The 19,943-nt window shown below is 47.4% G+C and overlaps 1 protein-coding gene across 17 annotated transcripts in view; it reads right to left on the bottom strand.

The window, feature by feature from the left end:
* Nucleotides 1-19,943, bottom strand: part of EVA1C (eva-1 homolog C) — a 103,665-nt gene that overhangs the window by 62,710 nt on the left and 21,012 nt on the right. The window contains exon 2 of one of the 17 annotated variants that reach the window (XM_017028420.2): nt 1,315-1,464. The exons of the other annotated variants lie outside the window; for them this stretch is intronic. The gene's annotated coding sequence lies outside the window, so the exon portion shown is untranslated. The remainder of the gene's footprint in view (nt 1-1,314; nt 1,465-19,943) is intronic. 17 annotated transcript variants of the gene reach the window in all.

The raw sequence follows: 19,943 nt of genomic DNA, 5'->3' as shown, positions 1-19,943 counted from the left end.
CCTTGCACTCCTTCTCCAAGTCCATGCGAAATCTGATTTTCCGAGTACACTAGGGCAAGAACCTGGGATACAGAAAGCCATCTGTCTTTGTGATAAGGCAGAGGGTCTAATTGAGCTGATTAACACAAGCCGCCTGCAGATGGCAAAACTGAAGGAGACCACTGTAACACATGCCCACTGGGGCTTCGGGAGCTGTAAACACCCAATTCTACAAGCTGCTGTGGGGTCGGAGCCCAAAAACGCTCCCCACGACCTGTCCATCTGCATGCCCCCTCTAGGGGTTTGAGCAGCAGGGTACTGAGAAGCGAGCCATGCCCCTGTCACGTGCCCTGCAAGGGGGGATAAGGGAACTCCTCCTGTTTCAATGTCTGGGTCAGAAACCTCGGTCTGGGATGGCCCACTGAATGGTTTGGAGGGCTCTTTCCCCTTCAGGAAGCACTAAGATATTGGCCAGGAGCCAAGGAGTCCTGAAGCACCTTTATAAACCAGGAAAAAAATCGGGGTGAGTGTCCCCTGGATGTGTGGATGCCCATCCTGAGGGAGGCTTTCATTTGCTCATCTCCCACTAGTGAGGCCATGCCTTATTGGAATGAGAGGATGCAATTTCATTTCAAGAAATCACTCTTGGCTCTGTCTTGCTGCTGGAGAGGAAAGACAGGCAGGGTGCCCTGCGTAGAGAAGGGGCCTGCTCCAAGGGCGTGGTGCAGGGAGGCGATGGTGGGGCTCTGCTGTGGGTTGAATGATGTCCCCTCAAATTCACGTTCATCAGGAACCCCAGAATGTGACATTTGGAAATAGGGTGGTTGCAGATGTAATGAATTAAGTTGGTGACATACTGGAGTAAGGTGGGCCCTTAACACCATATAACCGGTGTCCTTATAAGAAGAAAAGAAGAGACACAGAGGGAAGACAGCCATCTGCAGCTGGAATGATGCACCTGAAGCCAAGGAATGCCGAGCGTTGCCGGCCACCACCCAAAGCTGGAAAAGGCCAGGAAGGATTCTTCCCTAGAACCTTCAAAGGCAGCACAGCCCTGCCAACACCTGGATTCAGACTGTGGCCTCCAGAACTGTGAGAGGATGAATTTCTGTTGTTTTCAGCCACCCAAGCTTAGGAAAGGGGTTGCAGCAGACTGTGAATAAGACAGGCAGCCAGTCAGACTCCATGGAATTCCCAGGCAGCTTGCAGGAGCCACACTCAGCCCTGGGCTCTGAGAAGCTCTGAGGCCCAGCAGGCGCAGGGGCCTAAACTATTTCTCGGCAAGGAGGAAGGAAGGTTCATCCAGAATGTAGATCCCCTTCCTCCTTCTCACACCTCACGAGGTCACAGCGAGGCGGCTGGGAGGAGAGCCAGGGACTTTTCACTGAGGTGTGTGGGAGACAGCTTGGCAGCCCTTGGTCTCTGAAGGGAGGAGGTGGCGTGAAGGAGGGCAGCTTAGGAACTTCCCGATTCCTGCTCGATGACCTGTGTGTAAAGTATTCCTGTTTAGGTTTCAAAATCCTCTCAGAAACATAATTCTCGGAAAATCCAGGCGCCCAATCCAGCTCCCTGGCCTTCCCTGAAATCTGAAGTCAAAGGGGCTGAGCCAGCCTGCCCTGGGGTCCTCACGCCCACCAGCCCAGAGTGCTCTCTAGAGGAAGGCTACAGACATTTCCTGGCACGTTCATCCAGACGTTAGCTGTCTTGCTGAAACTCCTTTTTTCACCCTTGAAAACCACTGGAAGAATGGCCAAGAACCCAGCTATCCTGAGTAAGTTCACTTAGAGAAGCAAAATCTAACATGAGTGGCAAAACGGACATTGGCACCAGGAGTGTGGGTCAGAGTCCTGCCCCTTGGAACTACATCATTGCTTGCACAGTGTACCCCCCAGGCACCAAGAGACCAGGCCAAGACCCCTCAGTGGCCCTGGGCCTCTGGTCAGTGTCTTCCCGCCTGGCACACAGGCAGGCCCTCATAAAACAATGAGTACTGAAAATTCCAGCCTTCTTGGTGGGTTCTCAGCACCCTGTCATGAGCCACACCCTGCCCCAGGGAACTCAGGGTCACCCTGATGCTACCCCTAGGCCAGTGCCCCTTCTGAAGTGCCCCAGGCTGGCACCCCTATACTTAGATCTCTTCAGCCTCCTCATGAAAACCTTCTTGTCCATCACCCCAGCATTCCCGGACTGTGGTCCGGGGAATAAATAAGCAGCTGACCACACATCAAATCAATTTTCAGAGTTTGCCTTTGGTTTAATATTCATGGCTTATCCAAAAGATCTTGTCACTGTAGCTAGATGAAAAAAAAAAAAAATGACAAGGCTCCAGAGAAGCAGAGCCACAAGATGGAAGATACCTGGGTCCCAGGTTCATGAAGAGAGGAGCTGCCTGCTCCACAGACTGTCACGTGAGTGGGAATGAAACTTTTGCTGCGTTTAGACCATTATCTTTCTTCACTCTGTCACATAGTCTATCCCCGCTAAACAGAACTTGACCTCCTCCAGACCATTTACATCAAGACCTGTACGTGCGGTGCAGTGGCCTGAGCCTCCAATCCATGCCCCACCTATCCAACTGGCCTTACCATATTCTTATTCTGAGAGTGGTATTCTGGGGGCAGAAGCTCAGTGCATAGAATTGACTAATGCCAGATCCTTCAGGTGCTTTGCACTTTGAAGTATATCAGTCCTAGCACATTCCAAGTACAAAGAAGACACGTCAGCAGTACAACCTGCCCTACACTCAGTTCAATTCCTTCTTCAAAAACCTAGGCCCGGCCAGTTGTGGTGGCTCACACCTATAATCCCAACAGTTTGGGAGGCTGAGGCGGGCAGATCACCTGAGGTCAGGGGTTCGAGACCAGCCTGGCCAACATGGTGAAATTCCGTCTCTACTAAAAATGCAAAAAATTAGCTGGGTGTGGTGGCACGCCCCCGTAATCCCAGCTACTCTGGAGGCTGAGGTGGGGGAATTGCTTGAACACTGGAGGCAGAGGCTGCAGTGAGCCGAGATCGTGCCACTGCACTCCAGCAGGGGAAACAGAGCAAAACCCCATCTCAAAAAAAAAAAACAAAACAAAAAACAAAAAACGAAAGAAACCTAGGCCCACATCCAGACAATGGAATGTTATTTAGCACTAAAATGAAATGAGCTATCAAACCACAAAAAGACATGGAGAAACCTTAAATGCATATTCCTAAGTGAAAGAAGCCAATCTGAAAAGGCTGTGTACTGTCTGATTCCAACTATATGACATTCTGGATAAACCACAACTATGGAGACAGCGAAAATATCCATGGTTGCCAGAGGTCAGGAGAAAGGAGGAATGAATTGGTGGAACACAGAGGACTTTTTGGGCATTGCAACTACCCTGTGTGATACCACAATGGTGGAGCCACGTCATTGTCCATACGTCCAAACCCATGCAACGTACAACACCAAAAGTGAGCCCTCATGTAAACTATGGACTCTGGGTGATAGTGATTTGTCAATGTAGGTTTATTGATTATGACAAATATCGCACTCAGGTTTGATATTGCTAGTGGGGGAAGCTGCACGTGTGTGTGTATGTGTGTGGCAGGTAGGAGTAGAGGTTGATGAAAACTCTGCACTTTTTGCTCCATTTTTCTTTCTTTTCTTTTCTCTTTCTTTCCTTTTCCTTCCTTCTTTCCTTCCTTCCTTCCTTCCCACCCTCCCTCCTTTCTTTCTTTCTCTCTTTCTTTCTTTCTTTTTCTTTCTCTTTTCTTTCTTTCTCTCTTTCTCTCTCTTTCTTTCTTTCTCTCTTTTCTCCTTTCTTTTTTTTTCTTTGTCACCCAGGCTGGAATACAGTGGTAAGATCTCAGCCCACTGCAACCTCCACCTCCCAGATTCAAGCAATTCTCCTGCCTCAGCCTCCCAAGTAGCTAGGATTACAGGCATGCACCACCACGCCTGGCTAATTTTTTTGTATTTTTAGTAGAGTTGGGGTTTCATCATATTGGTCAGGCTGGTCTCAAACTCCTGACCTCGTGATCTGCCCGCCTCAGCCTCTCAAAGTGCTGGGATTACAGGTGTGAGCCACAGTGCCTGGCCTCTTCTCCATTTTTCTATGAACCTAGAACTTCTCTAACACATTAAGTCTATTTAAAAGGAAAAAAAAATCCTTATCACCTCGGCCCCAGGATAGCATTACCTATGGGAGGAGAGGAGCTAGCGTTAGGGAGGGGAGAACGAGGAGCTCGGGCGAGCTGGCCATCATGTCCTGTTCCTTGATCTGATGGCAGGCATGTGCTTTACTTTGTGAAAGCTCACCCAGTTATCCACTTTGGATATGTAAACAAAAATGTTTAAGAAAACTTCACCTGTAGTTATCTGACCTACACTTTTAAACAATAAAGAAAGCCTAGGCACATGGAGCCCTGGATAACTCATGGAGCAAGCGGGTGCGGAATGCCTTCTGTAGCCAGCCTCAGTCCCACGAGGATGGGCTGCTGGGTGACAGCAGGACAGGCTGCCCAAATGCTCTGGTCCTCCAGGGTGCCTGCCCATGCCCCATTCTGTTTGGTCCACAGTGCCAAAAGGTCAGGAAGAAGGACAATTAGAACAACCCCATGGTTTCAGCAACATGGAGGCCATCAAGAACCATTTTGAAACCATATGGGATGGGGGATGGGGACAGAAGCTTGTTCGGAAAAGGTTGAAAAGTGAGTGGAGGGGCCAGGCGCGGTGGCTCACGCTTGTAATCCCAGCACTTTGGGAGGCCGAGGCAGGCGGATCACCTGAGAATGAGAATTCAAAACCAGCCTGACTAACATGGAAAAACCCCGTCTCTGCTAAAAATACAAAATTAGCCGGACGTGGTGGCAGGCGCTTGTAATCCCAGTTACTCGGGAGGCTGAGGGAGGTGAATCACTTGAATCTGGGAGGTAGAGGTTGCAGTGAGCTGAGATCGCGCCATTGCACGCCAGGCTAGGCAACAAGAGCAAAACTCCATCTCAAAACACAGAAAAAAGAAAAAAGAAAAGTGAGTGGAAGTGAAGAAAGTCAAAGATGGTCCATGTGGTAGGCAGAATAACGGCCCCCAAAGATGTCCACAGGCCTTAATCCCCAGGATCAGTGATTATGTTACCAGACATTCATGGTAAAAGGGACTTGGCAGATGTGATTAAGTTATCAAAAAAAAAAAAGAGAAACATAGCTGTAAGAACTGATGTTCAGAGAGAGATTTTTAAATAATTGTGATTGAGTTAAAGTGAAAGAGGCTTGTGCATATATGTATGTGTACAGATAAATACATATGCACATGACCCTTAGATCGTATGTATTAGATTTCTTTCCTTTTCCCCCCACCGAGACGGAGTCTCCCTTTGTCACCCAGGCTGGAGTGCAGTGGCGTGATTTTGGTTGACTGCAACCTCCACCTCCCTGGTTCAAGCAGTTCTGCCTCAGCCTCTGGAGTAGCTGGGACTACAGTGCCCGCCACCATGCCCAGCTAATTTCTGTTTTTGGCTAGGCTGGTCTGGAACTCCTGACCTCAAGTGATCCACCCACCTCAGCCTCCCAAAGTGCTGGGATTACAGGTGTGAGCCACTGCGCCAGGCTCATACCTATTAGATTTCTTACCATGGGTTATGGTCCGACAAGTTTGAAGGGGGATATTGTCAAGAGACGGCTCAAAATGATGAACCGTGGGCTCCAAGCTAAATGTAAGAAAGGAAATGAGCACAGAAGAGGGGAGGGGCGCAAGGGACCAGAGTTCCTAATGAGGACCAGCAAGGTCAGAGTGAGGGAATCACACAGCAGGCTGGAAAGGCAGGAGGCTGTGCCCACGAGTTGTTTGAGGAGTGATTTCAAGGTGGATTTGCAGGTTATGGAAATGTCCAGGAGTGGCCATGGAAGGAGGTAGGAGAGGTTGGTGGAGAAGGTTGCTGGAAACAAGGATGCCAGGACTGAGAGTGAAGATGCCCTGTGGACCAGGCGTCTCCCAGGATGAAGGTAGGAAGTGGGGTGGAGCAGGAGCCAGCTGCCAAGGTTGTCCTTAAACAAAAGGCAGATGACAGATGAGCTGCTCCCAATCTCACACCCTTTCCGGCATGCTGCTTTCCCGGTAGGCAAGCTCATGCATTCCAGTGTGCTGGGCAGAGTCATGCCACTGAACTTCCCACACCTTGGTTTCTTGGCTGGTTGAAGAGAGATCCTTTTTAAAGAACAACTACTAATGCAGCTGTTTGTTAATGATTCCCTCCTAGTCAAATTAGCCATCATGTTGGATCAGTCAAAACTGCTTTATTTCTTAATAGTTTCAGCCAGAGCTTTTACAATCTAACTCTATTTGTGGGCAAGTATTTGCTATCCTGGAAGATGGCAGTTGTGCACACTCTGTTAAGAAATCAGTCCTGGAATCCATTAGAGCCTGGAGATGCTCTGTTGATCCTTGTTAAACTGGTGAGGAGAGGAAATGAGAGGATGTGGACTCTTTTTTTTTTTCTTTTTCTGTCACCCAGGCTGGAGTGCAATGGCACAATCTCGGCTCACTGCAACCTCCGCCTCCCAGGTTCAAGCAATTCTCCTGCCTCACCCTCCCGAGTAGCTGGGACTACAGGCACGTGCCACCACACCTGGCTATTTTTTTATTTTTAGTAGAGACGGGGTTTCACCATGTTGGCCAGGCTGGTCTCGAACTCCTGACCTCAGGTGATCCTCCCGCCTCAGCCTCCCAAAGTGCTGGGATTACAGGTGTAAGCCACCACACCCAGCTGGATGTAGACTCTTTTTTATCAGCTTCACATCGCTCAGGGATCTTGGTGCAGCTCATGTGTAACTCCAAGATACTCTTCCCTGGTGAATCCTCCCACTGTGTATCAGCAGAAAGTCTTATAGCTACTGCCATGGGTAAAACCTTCCTCAAAGGAGTATCCTGAAAGGTTTGGGTTGAGCAAATCTTAGAACAGCTTAGACCAAAGTTCTTAGGTTTTCATTTTTTGAATACAGATGAAGAGTTCACGACATGAACCCCTAAGAGTGGCAGGAGCTCTCCTCTGTCTTCTGAAAGACACAGGGAAGTCCTTCTTGGGATCGTCATCCTCATCACATTTACAAGGAAAATCCATTAATATTCAAATAATCCAGTGACTATAGAAAGACCAGTGTGAGAGGAAAATAAATCTTGGGGCCCCATACTTACTAAGCCAAAGGGAACAGTCAAGCTGGGAACTGGGTCGCACAAACCTGCCTCCCATTTGGTTCCTAACTAAGACGGCTACAAAGATAAAAAGCTACATACATCGCTCACCTTTTGCTCACAAGGAGATTCCTTGCAGGCCCCAAGATCTTTACTTGAAAATATTTCTGTTGAATTTCACCCTGGCAATGTCAATTGATAGCTTATCCACAGATGTGGAATGGGACAGGACAGAACTCAAAGTCATCCTTCTGCTCGCCTGAGGCAAATGTATATCTGATTGCTTCCTCTGCACTATTGTTTACGTTATCTTATGTAAAATTGCAGATTCCCTTAGCCGGACAAGTGACAGCATGAATGACTATTTCCTCTACTCACCCTCCTATGAAAATTGTATATTCCCCCAATATCCATCCTTTCCCCTTTAAATATTGAAGCCCTCAAAATTATCTTTGGAGAAAGGCATAGACCTGTCTCCCCAGTGGGTGTCCTTAACTTTGGCAAATAAACCCCCTAAAATGATTACAACTTGCCTTGGTCATTTTCATTGATTTATACCAGAATGATGTAAATAACTGATTTTCAAAGAATCATGGTATGTGTCCCAAAGTGTTCTACAGGAGTGCGATATTGTGAAATATATATTTGATCTTTCACGTGTTTCCTTCCATACAACTCCTAAAACCCTTAGAATCTCCAAAGTGATGTGTTTTTGTATGCTAATAAGTTGACTGATGGCTGGCAGCCCCTAGCTAGCTTCAGGATGGGGACTGGTCCCTGGAAAGACCAAGGCAAGATTAAAGAGTTGGGACTTTGAGCCCAACCCCAACTTCCAGGGAGAGGAGAGGAACTGAAGGTTATATTGGTCACTAATGGCCAGTGATTTAATCAATTGTGCCTATGTAATGATGCTTCTATAAAAATCCAAAAGAACTGGGTTTGGAGAGCTTCCGGATAGCAGAACATGTACAGGTTTTTGGAAGTCAGGGCACCCACGGTGGGCACAGAAGCTCCGCACTGCTTCCTCCATCCCTTTCCCTATGTGTCTCTTCATCTGTATCCTTTGTAATAGCCTTTATAATAAACTGATAAACATAAGTGAACTTCCCTAAAGTTTTTCTGTGAGCCACTCCATATTGATGGAACCCAAGGAGGGGGTCATGGGAACCTCAACTTGAAGCTTGTTGTTCAGAAGTTCCGGAGGCCCAGACTGTGACTGCTGGGAAGAAGGGCAATAGTCTTGGGGACCGAGACTCATTCTGTGGGATATGATGCTGTCTCCAGGTAGATGGTGTCAGAATTGAATTGGAGTATATATCCAGCTGGTATTTGCTGCAGAATTGATTGTTTGCTTGTTGGTGGGGAGGAATCCCCAAACATTTGGTCACAAAAAATATTCCGTGTTGATTGTTGTTGAGTGAAAGAATAGAGAAAGTACTTTGAGTTTGTGTGTGTGTGTGTGTGTGTGTGTGTGTGTGTGTGTGTTTTCACACAATTGGTGTCAGAAGTGGGAGTTGCTGGCTGTGGCCCTGTCTCATAGAAACATGTGCTTTGGGAAGAGAAAGAATGAGAGGATGGAGGATAAGAGACCTTTGATTCCTGGATGGTCGTATGGTCACCCATGGTATGAAGTCACAGCTGTGCTGCACTCTGTTACTAAAGGTGAAAGTTACCTTTCCGGAATTTGGAGACAGATCCAACTCTTGGGAAGTTGGTTCACTGGATGTGCAAGGAAATGCAAACTAATAATAAAGAAGTGAAATATTCAATCCTTTGGTTATTGTTATCTGTAATAGCTAAAATAAAAATAAAAGAGAGCACTAGGAATTAGGGTGTATGACTGTGATAGCCACCTCTTGGAATTGGTGGCTTCATGTTTTGCTGTGATGATTAAATGATATAGTGGGCATAAGCATCTTTTTTTTTCTTTACCATAAACCACTGCACATCTCTAAGGTATTACAATTATACTGTAAGGGTTTTTTTATTTGTTTGTTTTTTGAGATGGAGTTTCGCTCTTCTTGCCCAGGCTGGAGTGCAATGGCGCAATCTTGGCTCACTGCAACCTCCGCCTCCTGGGTTCAGGAGATTCTTCTGCCTCAGCCTCACAAGTAGCTGGGAATTACAGGTCCTTGCCACAAAGCCTGGCTAATTTTTTTGTATTTTTAGTAGAGGCAGGGTTTCACCATGTTGGTCAGGCTGATCTCCAACTCCTGACCTCAGGTGATCCACCCACCTAGGCCTCCCAAAGTGCAGGCATGAGCCACTGTACCCTGCCATGTACTGTAAATCTTAAAGAACACTAATTAACATAGAGCTTCCATTGGTACAATGCTGAACAATCCAGCTCTAATCAAATTACACTCGCGGCCAGCCCTCTCAGCTCTGAGCACCTTGATGTAAGGTAGACAGCTCAGAGACCAGTACATAGCCCCGTGGCTGCCCTCAGTCCAGACATGTCACTGCTGAGCCTGGAGGAAAAGGGAACCCTCCCTCCCCACCCTTCCTCCTTCCTTCCCTCCCTCCCTCCCTCCCTCCTTCCCTCCCTCCCTCCCTTCCTTCCCTTCTTCCTTCCTAATAATTAAGACCTAAAAAGTTACTAGTATTTAGAAGAGGTCAAAAGAGCTGTACATTTTCCTCTCTTTCTTTTCTGAAGCCAGAGGCTTCCAATGCAATCTGAGTTTCCTGAGGGTTGACGTTGCCTGAGTCACTCTGAACGCAGGATATAAGAATATCAGTCACTGGCCCCACATCGGTGTGCTAAAGTCCCCTAATCACCAGGGGCCAATTTCACAATCTTACTTCTGGGAAAAGAAAGGAATTCAATTTGCTACGTCCTTGCCTTCCCTCCCACCCGCTTTTTTTTTTTTTTTTTATAACCTGCCACCCTCCACTTGGTTAATGCTTTAGATAAAAGACCACACCCTTGTATTCACAAATAAACAAATAATAAAAGGTGTTTTTACATGTTTGAAGTCTTTTTCCAGAAAAAGATGTTCTTTTCTTTTGTGTTTGTGAATGCATTTAGAGAATTGGCAATGGCATGGGGTTGGGGGGTGGGGAGCCATGAGTCAGGGGTCCTGAGGGTACAGGAAAGGCCCCATGACCAAGGGCTCAGGACTGGCACTACACACCCAGGGGCATCAAGATCAAAAGGTGAAGTTAGGTATGAGTTTAAGTCCTTCCTCTAGTCCCAGGTGTGAGACTAAGAAAGTGAACCTGGAGGTTAATTGTGAAGAGAACTAGAGCCACCAGCCTGTTTCTTAGATATTTGGGAGGCTCCCAAGTTAGGGATGACCAAGGATAGCTATGACAACTCTTAAGTGATGAGCTCAGATCCTAGTCCTGAAACAAACCACAGAGGAGAGAAGGTAAACTGAGAGTCCAGACAAGGCAGAGACAATATATTTTCTTCCCGAGCACACAGGAGTAGTATATTTCTCAGCCTGCCCTACCCCAATCTCTCCTGGTAGTACAGTGGGCCAGTGGAAAATTCTGGGCAATGGAAAGAGGGCAGAAATGATGTTTGCCACTTGAAGGTCTGGCCCTTGAGACCCCTTGTGACCCTCCACTACCTCTCTCTCCCCGTCTGCTGTCACAAGTGGACAACAGAGGGGACAAGGACAGACTCTGAGGCCCCAGAAGACAGGGGAGGCACCAAATGGAAGAAACCTCGTTCTGGGCTACACCTGGACTTTGAATTCTTGTAGTTAACATTGGTTTCTAATAGTCACCCAATTATCTCCCATCTTGTCACTTTTTCTTACTTCTTTTCCCTTTCTGTACACCAACCCTCTGATTCATCAAGTCCCATAATTTCCCCCCATATATTTGCATGTATTTTAAGTGGATTTTCCTATGTAGTTGTCCACTTGTGTATTTATATGTATGGATTTCAGATTTTCGTGGCTGTCTCGGCATTTGTCTACACATGTCAATCCATTGTACCATTGTATGGGTTTCTGACTCCAAAGAAAAATCCAAAGTCCCATGCCACTGGGCCCCTTCTACTTCATCCAGCCTCATCCAACCTCATCTTCTGCCATTCTCCTGCTTGACTTCAGCCACGGTGCCTTCTTGTTTCTTGAAAATGCTAAGCATACTCTGACCTCAGGACCTTTGCTTTGACTGTCTCTCAGCCCGAAGCAGTCTTCCTCCAAACATCTGCTTTCTCCCTTCCTCCCTTCATTCAGCCTCTTGTACCAATGTGGCCTCATCAGTCAGACCTTTCCGGGTTGCTCTGCAAGACAGCACACCTCCTGCCCCACACCCCTAACTCTGCTTTATCTTGCTACGTAGAAACCTGTTGCCTGTTTCTCCCCTTTGGGATGTAAGCAAGGACTTTGCTTTATTTATTGCTGTATCTCCAGCAGCTAGCAAGAGTTTGTCATATAGCAGTATGTCATCATATAGGAAAATGAAGAGTTCTTTTTTTTGAGAGGGAGTTTCACTCTTCTTGCCCAGGCTGGACTGCAATGGCATCATCTTGGCTCACTGCAACCTCTACCTTCTGGACTCAAGCGATTCTCTTGCCTCAGCCTCCTGAGTAGCTGGGATTACAGGCATGTGCCATCACACCTGGCTAATTTTTTGTATTTTTAATAAAGACGGGTTTTCTCCATGTTGGTCAGGCTGGTCTCAAACTTCCGACCTCAGGTGATCTGCCCGCCTCGGCCTCCCAAAGTGCTGGGATTACAGGTGTGAGCCACTGCGCCTGGCCCAATGAACAGCTCTTGAATGAATGACACAGTGAAGAAGACTACTAGAGCAAGAGCAGATCAAAAGTGAATAATTGAGTAGTAGGTTCTAATTAATCCTCATCAGCAACCAACATAACCCAGGGCTTATAGATTTCTCTGTGTGATATGCTACACACACATCTACGGAAAGAGAGAGAGATCATCAACCAATTTTAAAAAGTTAATTGGTTGACATCTGTCAACCAATTTTAAAAAGTTACTCTAAATGTGCTGCGTTGGTCTTGTATTACAATCCTTAGATTACACTACTATTTTATTTCAAACAGGACTGGTAGAAACTTCTTCATGCCTTTTCAACCAAAGGCCTTCAATCCTATAAAAATGAACACCTTGTTCTTTGACCAAGTACCAACCTTAGAAAGTTATGCAGCGAACACCATCTGACTTAGATTAATTTAAAAGTAACTGGATCAATCCCCCTTTACCCCAAGCAACTAAACGGAACAATTTTCTTTTCTTTTCTTCGGGACACAGCGTAATCCTCAAACTGCAGAGCCACTTGGCGATGAAGCCAGGATCACAGTGCATTTGATAACTTAATGCAACTTTTTACTAGCACTTAAAACTCAGATATGAAATCTATACTTGATCTTTTCTGCTTGGAATTGGCCAGATTAGTGGTTCTGCCCTCACATACAACAAAAGGCTCTCAGAAACACTCAGGGTCGCTAACCAATCGGAAGGACCAACAGAGCTCGACAAACAGACAGGAGGGTGGAAGGGCACCGCCTCCCATCCCACCCGCTTAGACAGCCTTTCAACTCTGCCCACTTTGAGGATGTGTAGGATGATCAAGGTAAGCATGATACCTACCTTAACTTCAAGGTGGAAATTAAGGCTTGAGGGCACTTATTTGGTGCCTTATTCAGTTAATTGGAAGATTATATGGTAATTTCACTGCTCATAATAATTAAACCTTTTTTTTTCACTTTAGGGATGATAATGACATTTGGAGAGTAGCACTATAAACCTCAAAAATCTATTTTGAAGATGACTGGATTTAGGAGCAGGACAGGTTTACTGTACACTTGACCAAACATGCTTTGTTCCCCCAAAGCAGCAAAAAAGCCACAGCCTGGAAGTTTCTAAAACTTGAAGCAGATGTAAATGGCAAATCCAAAAAGCCGTGCCTAAAGAACAGGTCGGGTGACCAGCTGTATCTATTCCAGCCTCCCCATTGGCTCGGTGGAGGATTTCAGATAGGTCTCTCAGTTTCCCCTTCTTTGGTTTCACCTTAGAATGAGGGAAGGTCACAGCATTTCTTCCTTTGTATTTCACAGAAACACAGGAGGCCGGGTTGACAGTCAGCAAATGTAAAGAAATACGGGCGTCCACACGGTAATCATGCTGGCCTGGCCTCCAGCTTCATATTCATCCTTAATTGATTCCCTGGCACACTCGCCAGTGACCTGGCTCCGCTTCACCAAATGGCCCCAAGGGCCCACACTTTCTTAATTGTCCTGTGGACCCTTTATTCACTCCCCTTCATCCTTCCTTTGCTGACGGTGGTCGCTTCTGATTGCCCCAATCTTTTTTTTTGAGATGTAGTCTTGCTCTGTTGCCCAGGCTGGAGTGCTGTGGCAAGATCTCAGCTCACTGCAACCCCCACTTCCTGGGTTCAAGTGATTCTCCTGCCTTGGCCTCCCGAGTAGCTGGGATTACAGGCATGGGCCACCACGCCTGGCTAATTTTTTTTTGTATTTTAGGTAGAGACGGAGTTTCACCATGTTGGCCAGGCTGGTCTCTAACTCCCGACTTCAAGTGATCTGCCCGCCTTGGCCTCCCAAAGTGCTGGGATTACAGGCATGAGCCACCGAGCCTGGCTTCAATCTTATGCTTACTATTCTTAATCTGTTGCCTCATTTTATAGTCACAGCTCAGGTGACAGCTGAGGGATTACATTCATCTGTCTCTGAGCCTCTAAGACTTCTGTTTTCTTCACCACCCTCCAGGAATCCTTTTTTCTAGCTCTTGGTTGCTGGCCATCTCCTGGACGGTTCAGTTGAAAATCTGACCTCCAGTTCATTGGTGCATCTACAATCAATCCTCATTACCTGCAGATTCTGTAGCTGCAAATTCACCTACTTGATAATGTTTATTTATAACCCCTAAATCAATACCAGTGGGGCTTTCCTGGATGTGCGCTGGGTGGTGAAGAGGTTGAATGGCTGCTACTACACATGGTCCCAGCAGAGCTCCATCGAGGAACCTCTGCCTTTTGCTTTCAGCTCTTATACCATAAATGAATGCCCTTTTCTTGGTCGTTTTGGTTTTTTTTTTTTTTTTTTTTTTGAGACAGAGTCTCACTCTGTCACCCAGGCTGGAGTGCAGTGGCATGATTGCAACCTCTGCCTCTCGGGTTCAAGTGATTCTCCTGCCTCAGCCTCCCGAGTAGCTGGGACTACAGGTATGTGCCACCACACCCAGCTAATTTTTGTATTTTTAGTAGAGATGGGGTTTTGCCATATTGGCCAGGCTGGTCTCAAACTCCTGACCTCAGGTGATCCACCCGCCTTGGCCTCCCAAAGTGCTGGGATTACAGGTGTAAGCCACCATGCCCAGCCAGGGTTCTCTTAAATGTAATGGAAAGAGGAGAATTGGAATGGCAGAAAGAGAGAACTAGGACCCTGCATGAATGCATCAAGTTGAGTTGGAGAGAAACTGTATTTATAGGAAAGTCAAGGCTCTGAGTTTGGAGATCAAGCAGGGTGGGGGTGAGCAAAGCTGTGAGAAGGAAAGCAGGGCTTCAAAAAACAGCTGCTCCTCCTTGATAGACGCAGAGCGGAAACAGGAAAGACCGGGGGCCGTGCGGTGTTATTTGTAGCACTTGGATAGCTTGGCTCTTAGAGTCCCAAGGCCTCCAGCTAGTGATCCACAGATGCCATTAGAGAGCAAAAGCGCTCGCTCCTCCCTCATTCGTCACCAAGAAGACCCACTATGGCCCTGGCCTTAAGGACAAGTTAGTCAATTGCTTATTGTACGTCACGAGATGAACACTGGGAGAGAGGAAACGCAGGGTGTGTAGGGAGAGGGCAAAAACGGCTACATCTGACCCACCCCAGAGATGAGGAAGGCTTCCAGGTGGGAGGTGATGCCAGCAGGTAACCAGGTGGAAATCACCCTCAAGTAGCAGGGACAGGTGTGCAAAGGCTCAGAGGGAGCTTCTCCAGGATCAGCAGAGCTCGATTGCAGGGTTTGAGGCTGTCACAGAGGCTGGAGAAATAAGCAGTGCCTTGCTAAGAAGTCTGAATCTTAACCTGAAGGGATGCGGGAGCTACTGCAGGCTGGTAAGCAGGGGAGTGATGCTGGTTGGATTGCAGTGCAGAAAAACCCTGGGTTGGCCTGTGTCTGATGGACTGGAGAGACCCTTGAAGAAATCAGGGTACAGGCAGTCCTCCGGGGGAGAAATGAGGAAGGTGCCAACTGAGACCACAGCAGTGGGGAAGGGTGTGAGAGGGATGGAAATTGAGATGAACTCATGGGTGTTTGGCCTGTGCAGTCACACAGGGCCCCATGCTGAGAGGGACCCGGAGCTTGGCTTAATGCTCTGCTGTTACTGTCTTAAAATTCCTCCTCATTTTATGTTTGAATCTATGTTTGTTTTGTTTTGTTTTGTTTTGAGAAAGAGTCTCGCTCTGTCGCCCAGGCTGGAGTGCAGTGGTGCCATCTCGGCTCACTGCGACCTCCACCTCCCAGGCTCAAGTGATTCTCCTGCCTCAGCCTCCCAAGTAGCTGGGACTACAGCCACCCGCCACCACGCCCGGCTAATTTTTATATTTTTAGTAGAGAGTGGGTTTCACCATATGGGCTAGGCTGGTCTTGAACTCGTGACCTCAAGTGATCTGCCCACCTTGGCCTCCCAAAATGCTGGGATTACAGGCATGAGCCACTGCACCCAGCCTGAATCTATGTTTTATCAGTAAAATCCAACAGGGCAATAGAACATGTGCGTGGGCAGACGAGACACCAGCAACAATATGAGTTACCACCACACTCCCCATGGCGTGTCTGCCGTGCCCTGAGCATAGAATCTTGGGGGGTCCGCAGTGCATGGGAGCCCAGCAAGGCTCCAAGTGGGCATAAGGGAAGCCTACTATGTCCACAACGGAGTCTGCGAGAGATGCTGACAGCACCAAGAGGTTGCACTTTCCCTTATTATAGAATCAGAATTGAAAACCAAGTCAATGGCATTCTAAGAAACAGGAACAAACAAGGAACTCTCTCCCAGCCTTTTCTACTCATCTGATTCCCTGTAGTAGCCAACCACTTCCACTGGAAATGATGACATAGGAGAAGCAAAGATAGCAGAGTCATAGTTATTTTTCCTTTCAATTCTTCCTTACACATCAGTAAGCCAAAGGTAGAGAGTGGTGGTTGATTGTATAGGTGTGAAAAAGTGAAACAAAAACAATTGAATGGCCAGGTGTGGTGGCTCATGTCTGTAATCCCAGCATTTTGGGAGGCCGAGGCGGGTGGATCACAAGGTGAGGAGTTCGAGAACAGCCTGGCCAACATGGCGAAACCCCGTCTCTATTAAAAATACAAAAATTAGGCGGGTGTGGTGACGGGCTCCTGTAATCCCAGCTACTCAGGAGGCTAAAGCAGGAGAATGGCTTGAACCCAGGAGGCAGAGGTTGCAGTGAGCCGAGATCTCACCACTGCACTCCAGCCTGGGCAAGAGAGCAAGACTCCGTCTCAGGCGAAAAAACAAAAACAAACAAACAAACAAACAAAAAACAGCTGAATTAGTTTCCTGCAACGTCTCACTGTTTCTGTGAGGCAAAAAAAACCCACATGCAAAGTACAAATTATGTCATTTCTGTGATTCCACATTTGAGTCCAATGTTCCTATTTAAATCTGGCATTGCACAATGTAAAGAGGAACAGTATAATCCATGCTAGTAATTTAAAATGTGAATTTTTCTTTACTTAGAAGGACATTAAATAACAAATGACAGTATCATGATAAATTGAGACACAGAGACCACAGAAGAAAGAAAATGCTTTATATGTTAGTACTTCAGCAGTGCTTTTCCTCTGATTTTTGAATAAGGGGGCCCATGTTTTCATCTTGCACTGGGCCTTGCAAATTCTGCAGCTGGTCCTGACTGTAAAGACAGGGATTTAGCCATAAAATCAGCAGGGGTTGGTCGTGGGCATATAGAGGATTTAGGCATGGCTGCAGGGTTTTCAGCCAGTGGTACCGTTGGCTGGGAAATCTAGGAAATCCAGCCCTGAAGGACAGGCATTGTGAATCTGTTGTGGATGGGCTGAGCCTGCAGTGGCCATGGGGCATCCTGCCTGGGAGGAGGGCGAGCAGCAATTCATCAGCACAGGTGGTGGCTGAGGCTCAGGAGGGGCTACTGAGGCAGGAACTGTGGGGCAGGGATGCTGGGGAAGGCAGACATTTAGGAGATGGGACAACAGCTGGGTATGGTGGCTCACACTTGTAATCCCAGCTACTCAGGAGGCTGAGACAGGAGGGTAGCTCGAGGCCAGGAGTTCAAGATCAGCCTGCACAACATAGCGAGACCCCATTTCCCCCCCACAAAAAAAATTAATAAAATGTAAAAATACAAAAAAAGAGATGGGACAACAAAGAAGGCCTCATAAAGGAGATGGAGAGGAAGGGGACAGGAGGAAAGGGGAGAGCAAAGGTGATAGCCAGAAGCAGGCATGAGAGGTTCCCTAGAGTGGGGTTTTATTATCTCAAGTGACCATGAGCAAATTACTGAACCTGTCTGTGCTGCAGACATCATGGATAAAACGAAGATAAAATGAAGACAATAACAACAGCACTTATGGGCAGGGAGGTTGTGGTGAAGATTAAATGAAGAGTTTATATGGGAAGGGCTCAGAATGCTGCTGTATTAAATGCCTCGGGCTGCTATAACAAGGTACCACAAGCTGGGTGGCTTAGAACTACAGAAATGCATCGTCTCACACCTGCAGGCCAGAAGGCTGAGATGAAGGCATTGTCAGGGCCACGCTCCATCTGAGGATGCTAGGGAAGGATCTCCCTCCCAGCTTCCTCCAGCTCCTTAGCTTGTGGCAGCATAAGTCCAATCTTCATGTGGCCTTCTCCCTGTGTGCATCTGTGTCCAAAATTTCCCCTTTCCATATCTATATCTATATATATATAAAATTTTATTTATTTATTTATTTATTTATTTATTTATTTATTTTTTGAGACGGAGTCTCGCTCTGTCGCCCAGGCTGGAGTGCAGTGGCGCTATCTCGGCTCACTGCAAGCTCCTCCTCCCGGGTTCATGCCATTCTCCTGCCTCAGCCTCCCGAGTAGCTGGGACTACAGGTGCCCACCACCATGCCCGGCTAATTTTTTGTATTTTTAGTAGAGACGGGGTTTCACCATGTTAGCCAGGATGGTCTTGATCTCCTGACCTCGTGATCCGCCCATCTCGGCCTCCCAAAGTGCTGGGATTACAGGCATGAGCCACCACGCCCGGCCTATTTATTTATTTTGAGACAGAATCCTGCTCTGTCACCCAGGCTGGAGTGCAGTGGTGCGATCTTGGCTCACTGCCACTTCCGCCTCCCGGGTTCAAGCAATTATCCTGCCTCAGCCTCCCAAGTAGCTGGGATTACAGGTGCCCGCCACTATGCCCAGCTAATTTTTTTGTATTTTTAGTAGAGACAGTTTTCACCATGTTGGCCAGGCTGGTCTTGAACTCCTGACCTCAAATGATCCACCCACCTCGGCCTCCCAAACTGCTAAGATTTCAGGTGTAAGCCACTGCGCCTGGCCTATTTTATTATTTTTTAACAGAGATGGGGGTCTTGCTATGTTGGCCAGGTTGGTCTTGAACCTTGGCCTCAAGTGATCCTCCCGCCTCAGCCTCCCAAAGTGCTAGGATTGCAGGCATGAGCCACTGCACCTGGCCAATTTCCCCTTTCCATAAGGACACCCATTATACTGGATAAAGCCCACTCTATCAACCTCATTTTAACTTGACTACCGTTGTAATGACTATCTCCAAATATGCCACATTTTGAGGTGCTGGGGGTCAGGACTCCAAGAAGTCTTTTGTGGGAGAGGGAATGCAATTCAACCCACAACAGTGCCCTGCTCTGTGAAATGTTCACCTTTATGAATATGACGACCTCCACGAGTTGTTTTCTTCAAAGGTATGAGGAAGAGACCAGTGAGGGACAACCTGAGGGTGGGGAACCTAAATTTGTTGTGGCCACAATCTCCACAACAACGCGATGTTTCTCCCGCAGCACTTAGCAGCCCAGGTGAAGGTAAATATAAGGAGAGGGAACAAAGACGAGGGAGTGACACATCCTGATAACGCGCCAGAGACAACCACAGGTAGAAATACTGATGGCAGCGAGGCAGACGGGGAACACTGCTCATTGCTCTGCCTGCCTCACTTTTGTTCAGGGAACACCAGGAGGCCTGAGATCCCAGGTGAACAGAAATCACCACCACCCTGTCTCGGCCCCAACCAACATACGCACAGGAGGCAAACCAAGTTTTGATCATTTATTAAAACAAATAAGAGGTTAATCTGTGGGTAAAAAGGCCTTGTTTGCCAGCAGCTCAGGGGATGCCTTCAAGCTGACTGGCGTTAGTGCACTTTGAAGTGGGAAGCATCACATGGGTTCTGGAGATAAGCAATAGATAAACAGCAGGAGTTACCAGAAGTGTCAAGCCAGGCATCACCTTAACAGAAATTATTCCTGGAGCTAATGTGGAAGTCATTAATCCCAAGAGAAAAGACAGAGGTGGGCGTGGTGGCTCATGCCTGTCATCTCAACACTTTGGGATGCCGAGGCGGGAGGATCCCTTGAAGCCAAGAGTTCAAGATCAGCCTGGGCAACAAAGTGAGACCTCGTCTCTACAGAAAACTAAAATAAATAAAATAAATCAGCCACATGCAGTGGTGCACACCTGTAGTCCCAGCTACTCAGGAGGCTAAGGCAGGAGGATCGCTTGAGCCCAGGAGGTCAAGGCTGCAGTGACCTATGATCACATCACTGCACTCCAGCCTGGGCAACAGAGCAAGACCCTGTCTCTAAA

The sequence above is a fragment of the Homo sapiens genome, chromosome 21, assembly GCF_000001405.40.
Source record: "Homo sapiens chromosome 21, GRCh38.p14 Primary Assembly".
Classification (NCBI taxonomy): Eukaryota; Metazoa; Chordata; class Mammalia; order Primates; family Hominidae; genus Homo; species Homo sapiens.
This window is presented reverse-complemented; position numbering and strand designations above follow the sequence as displayed.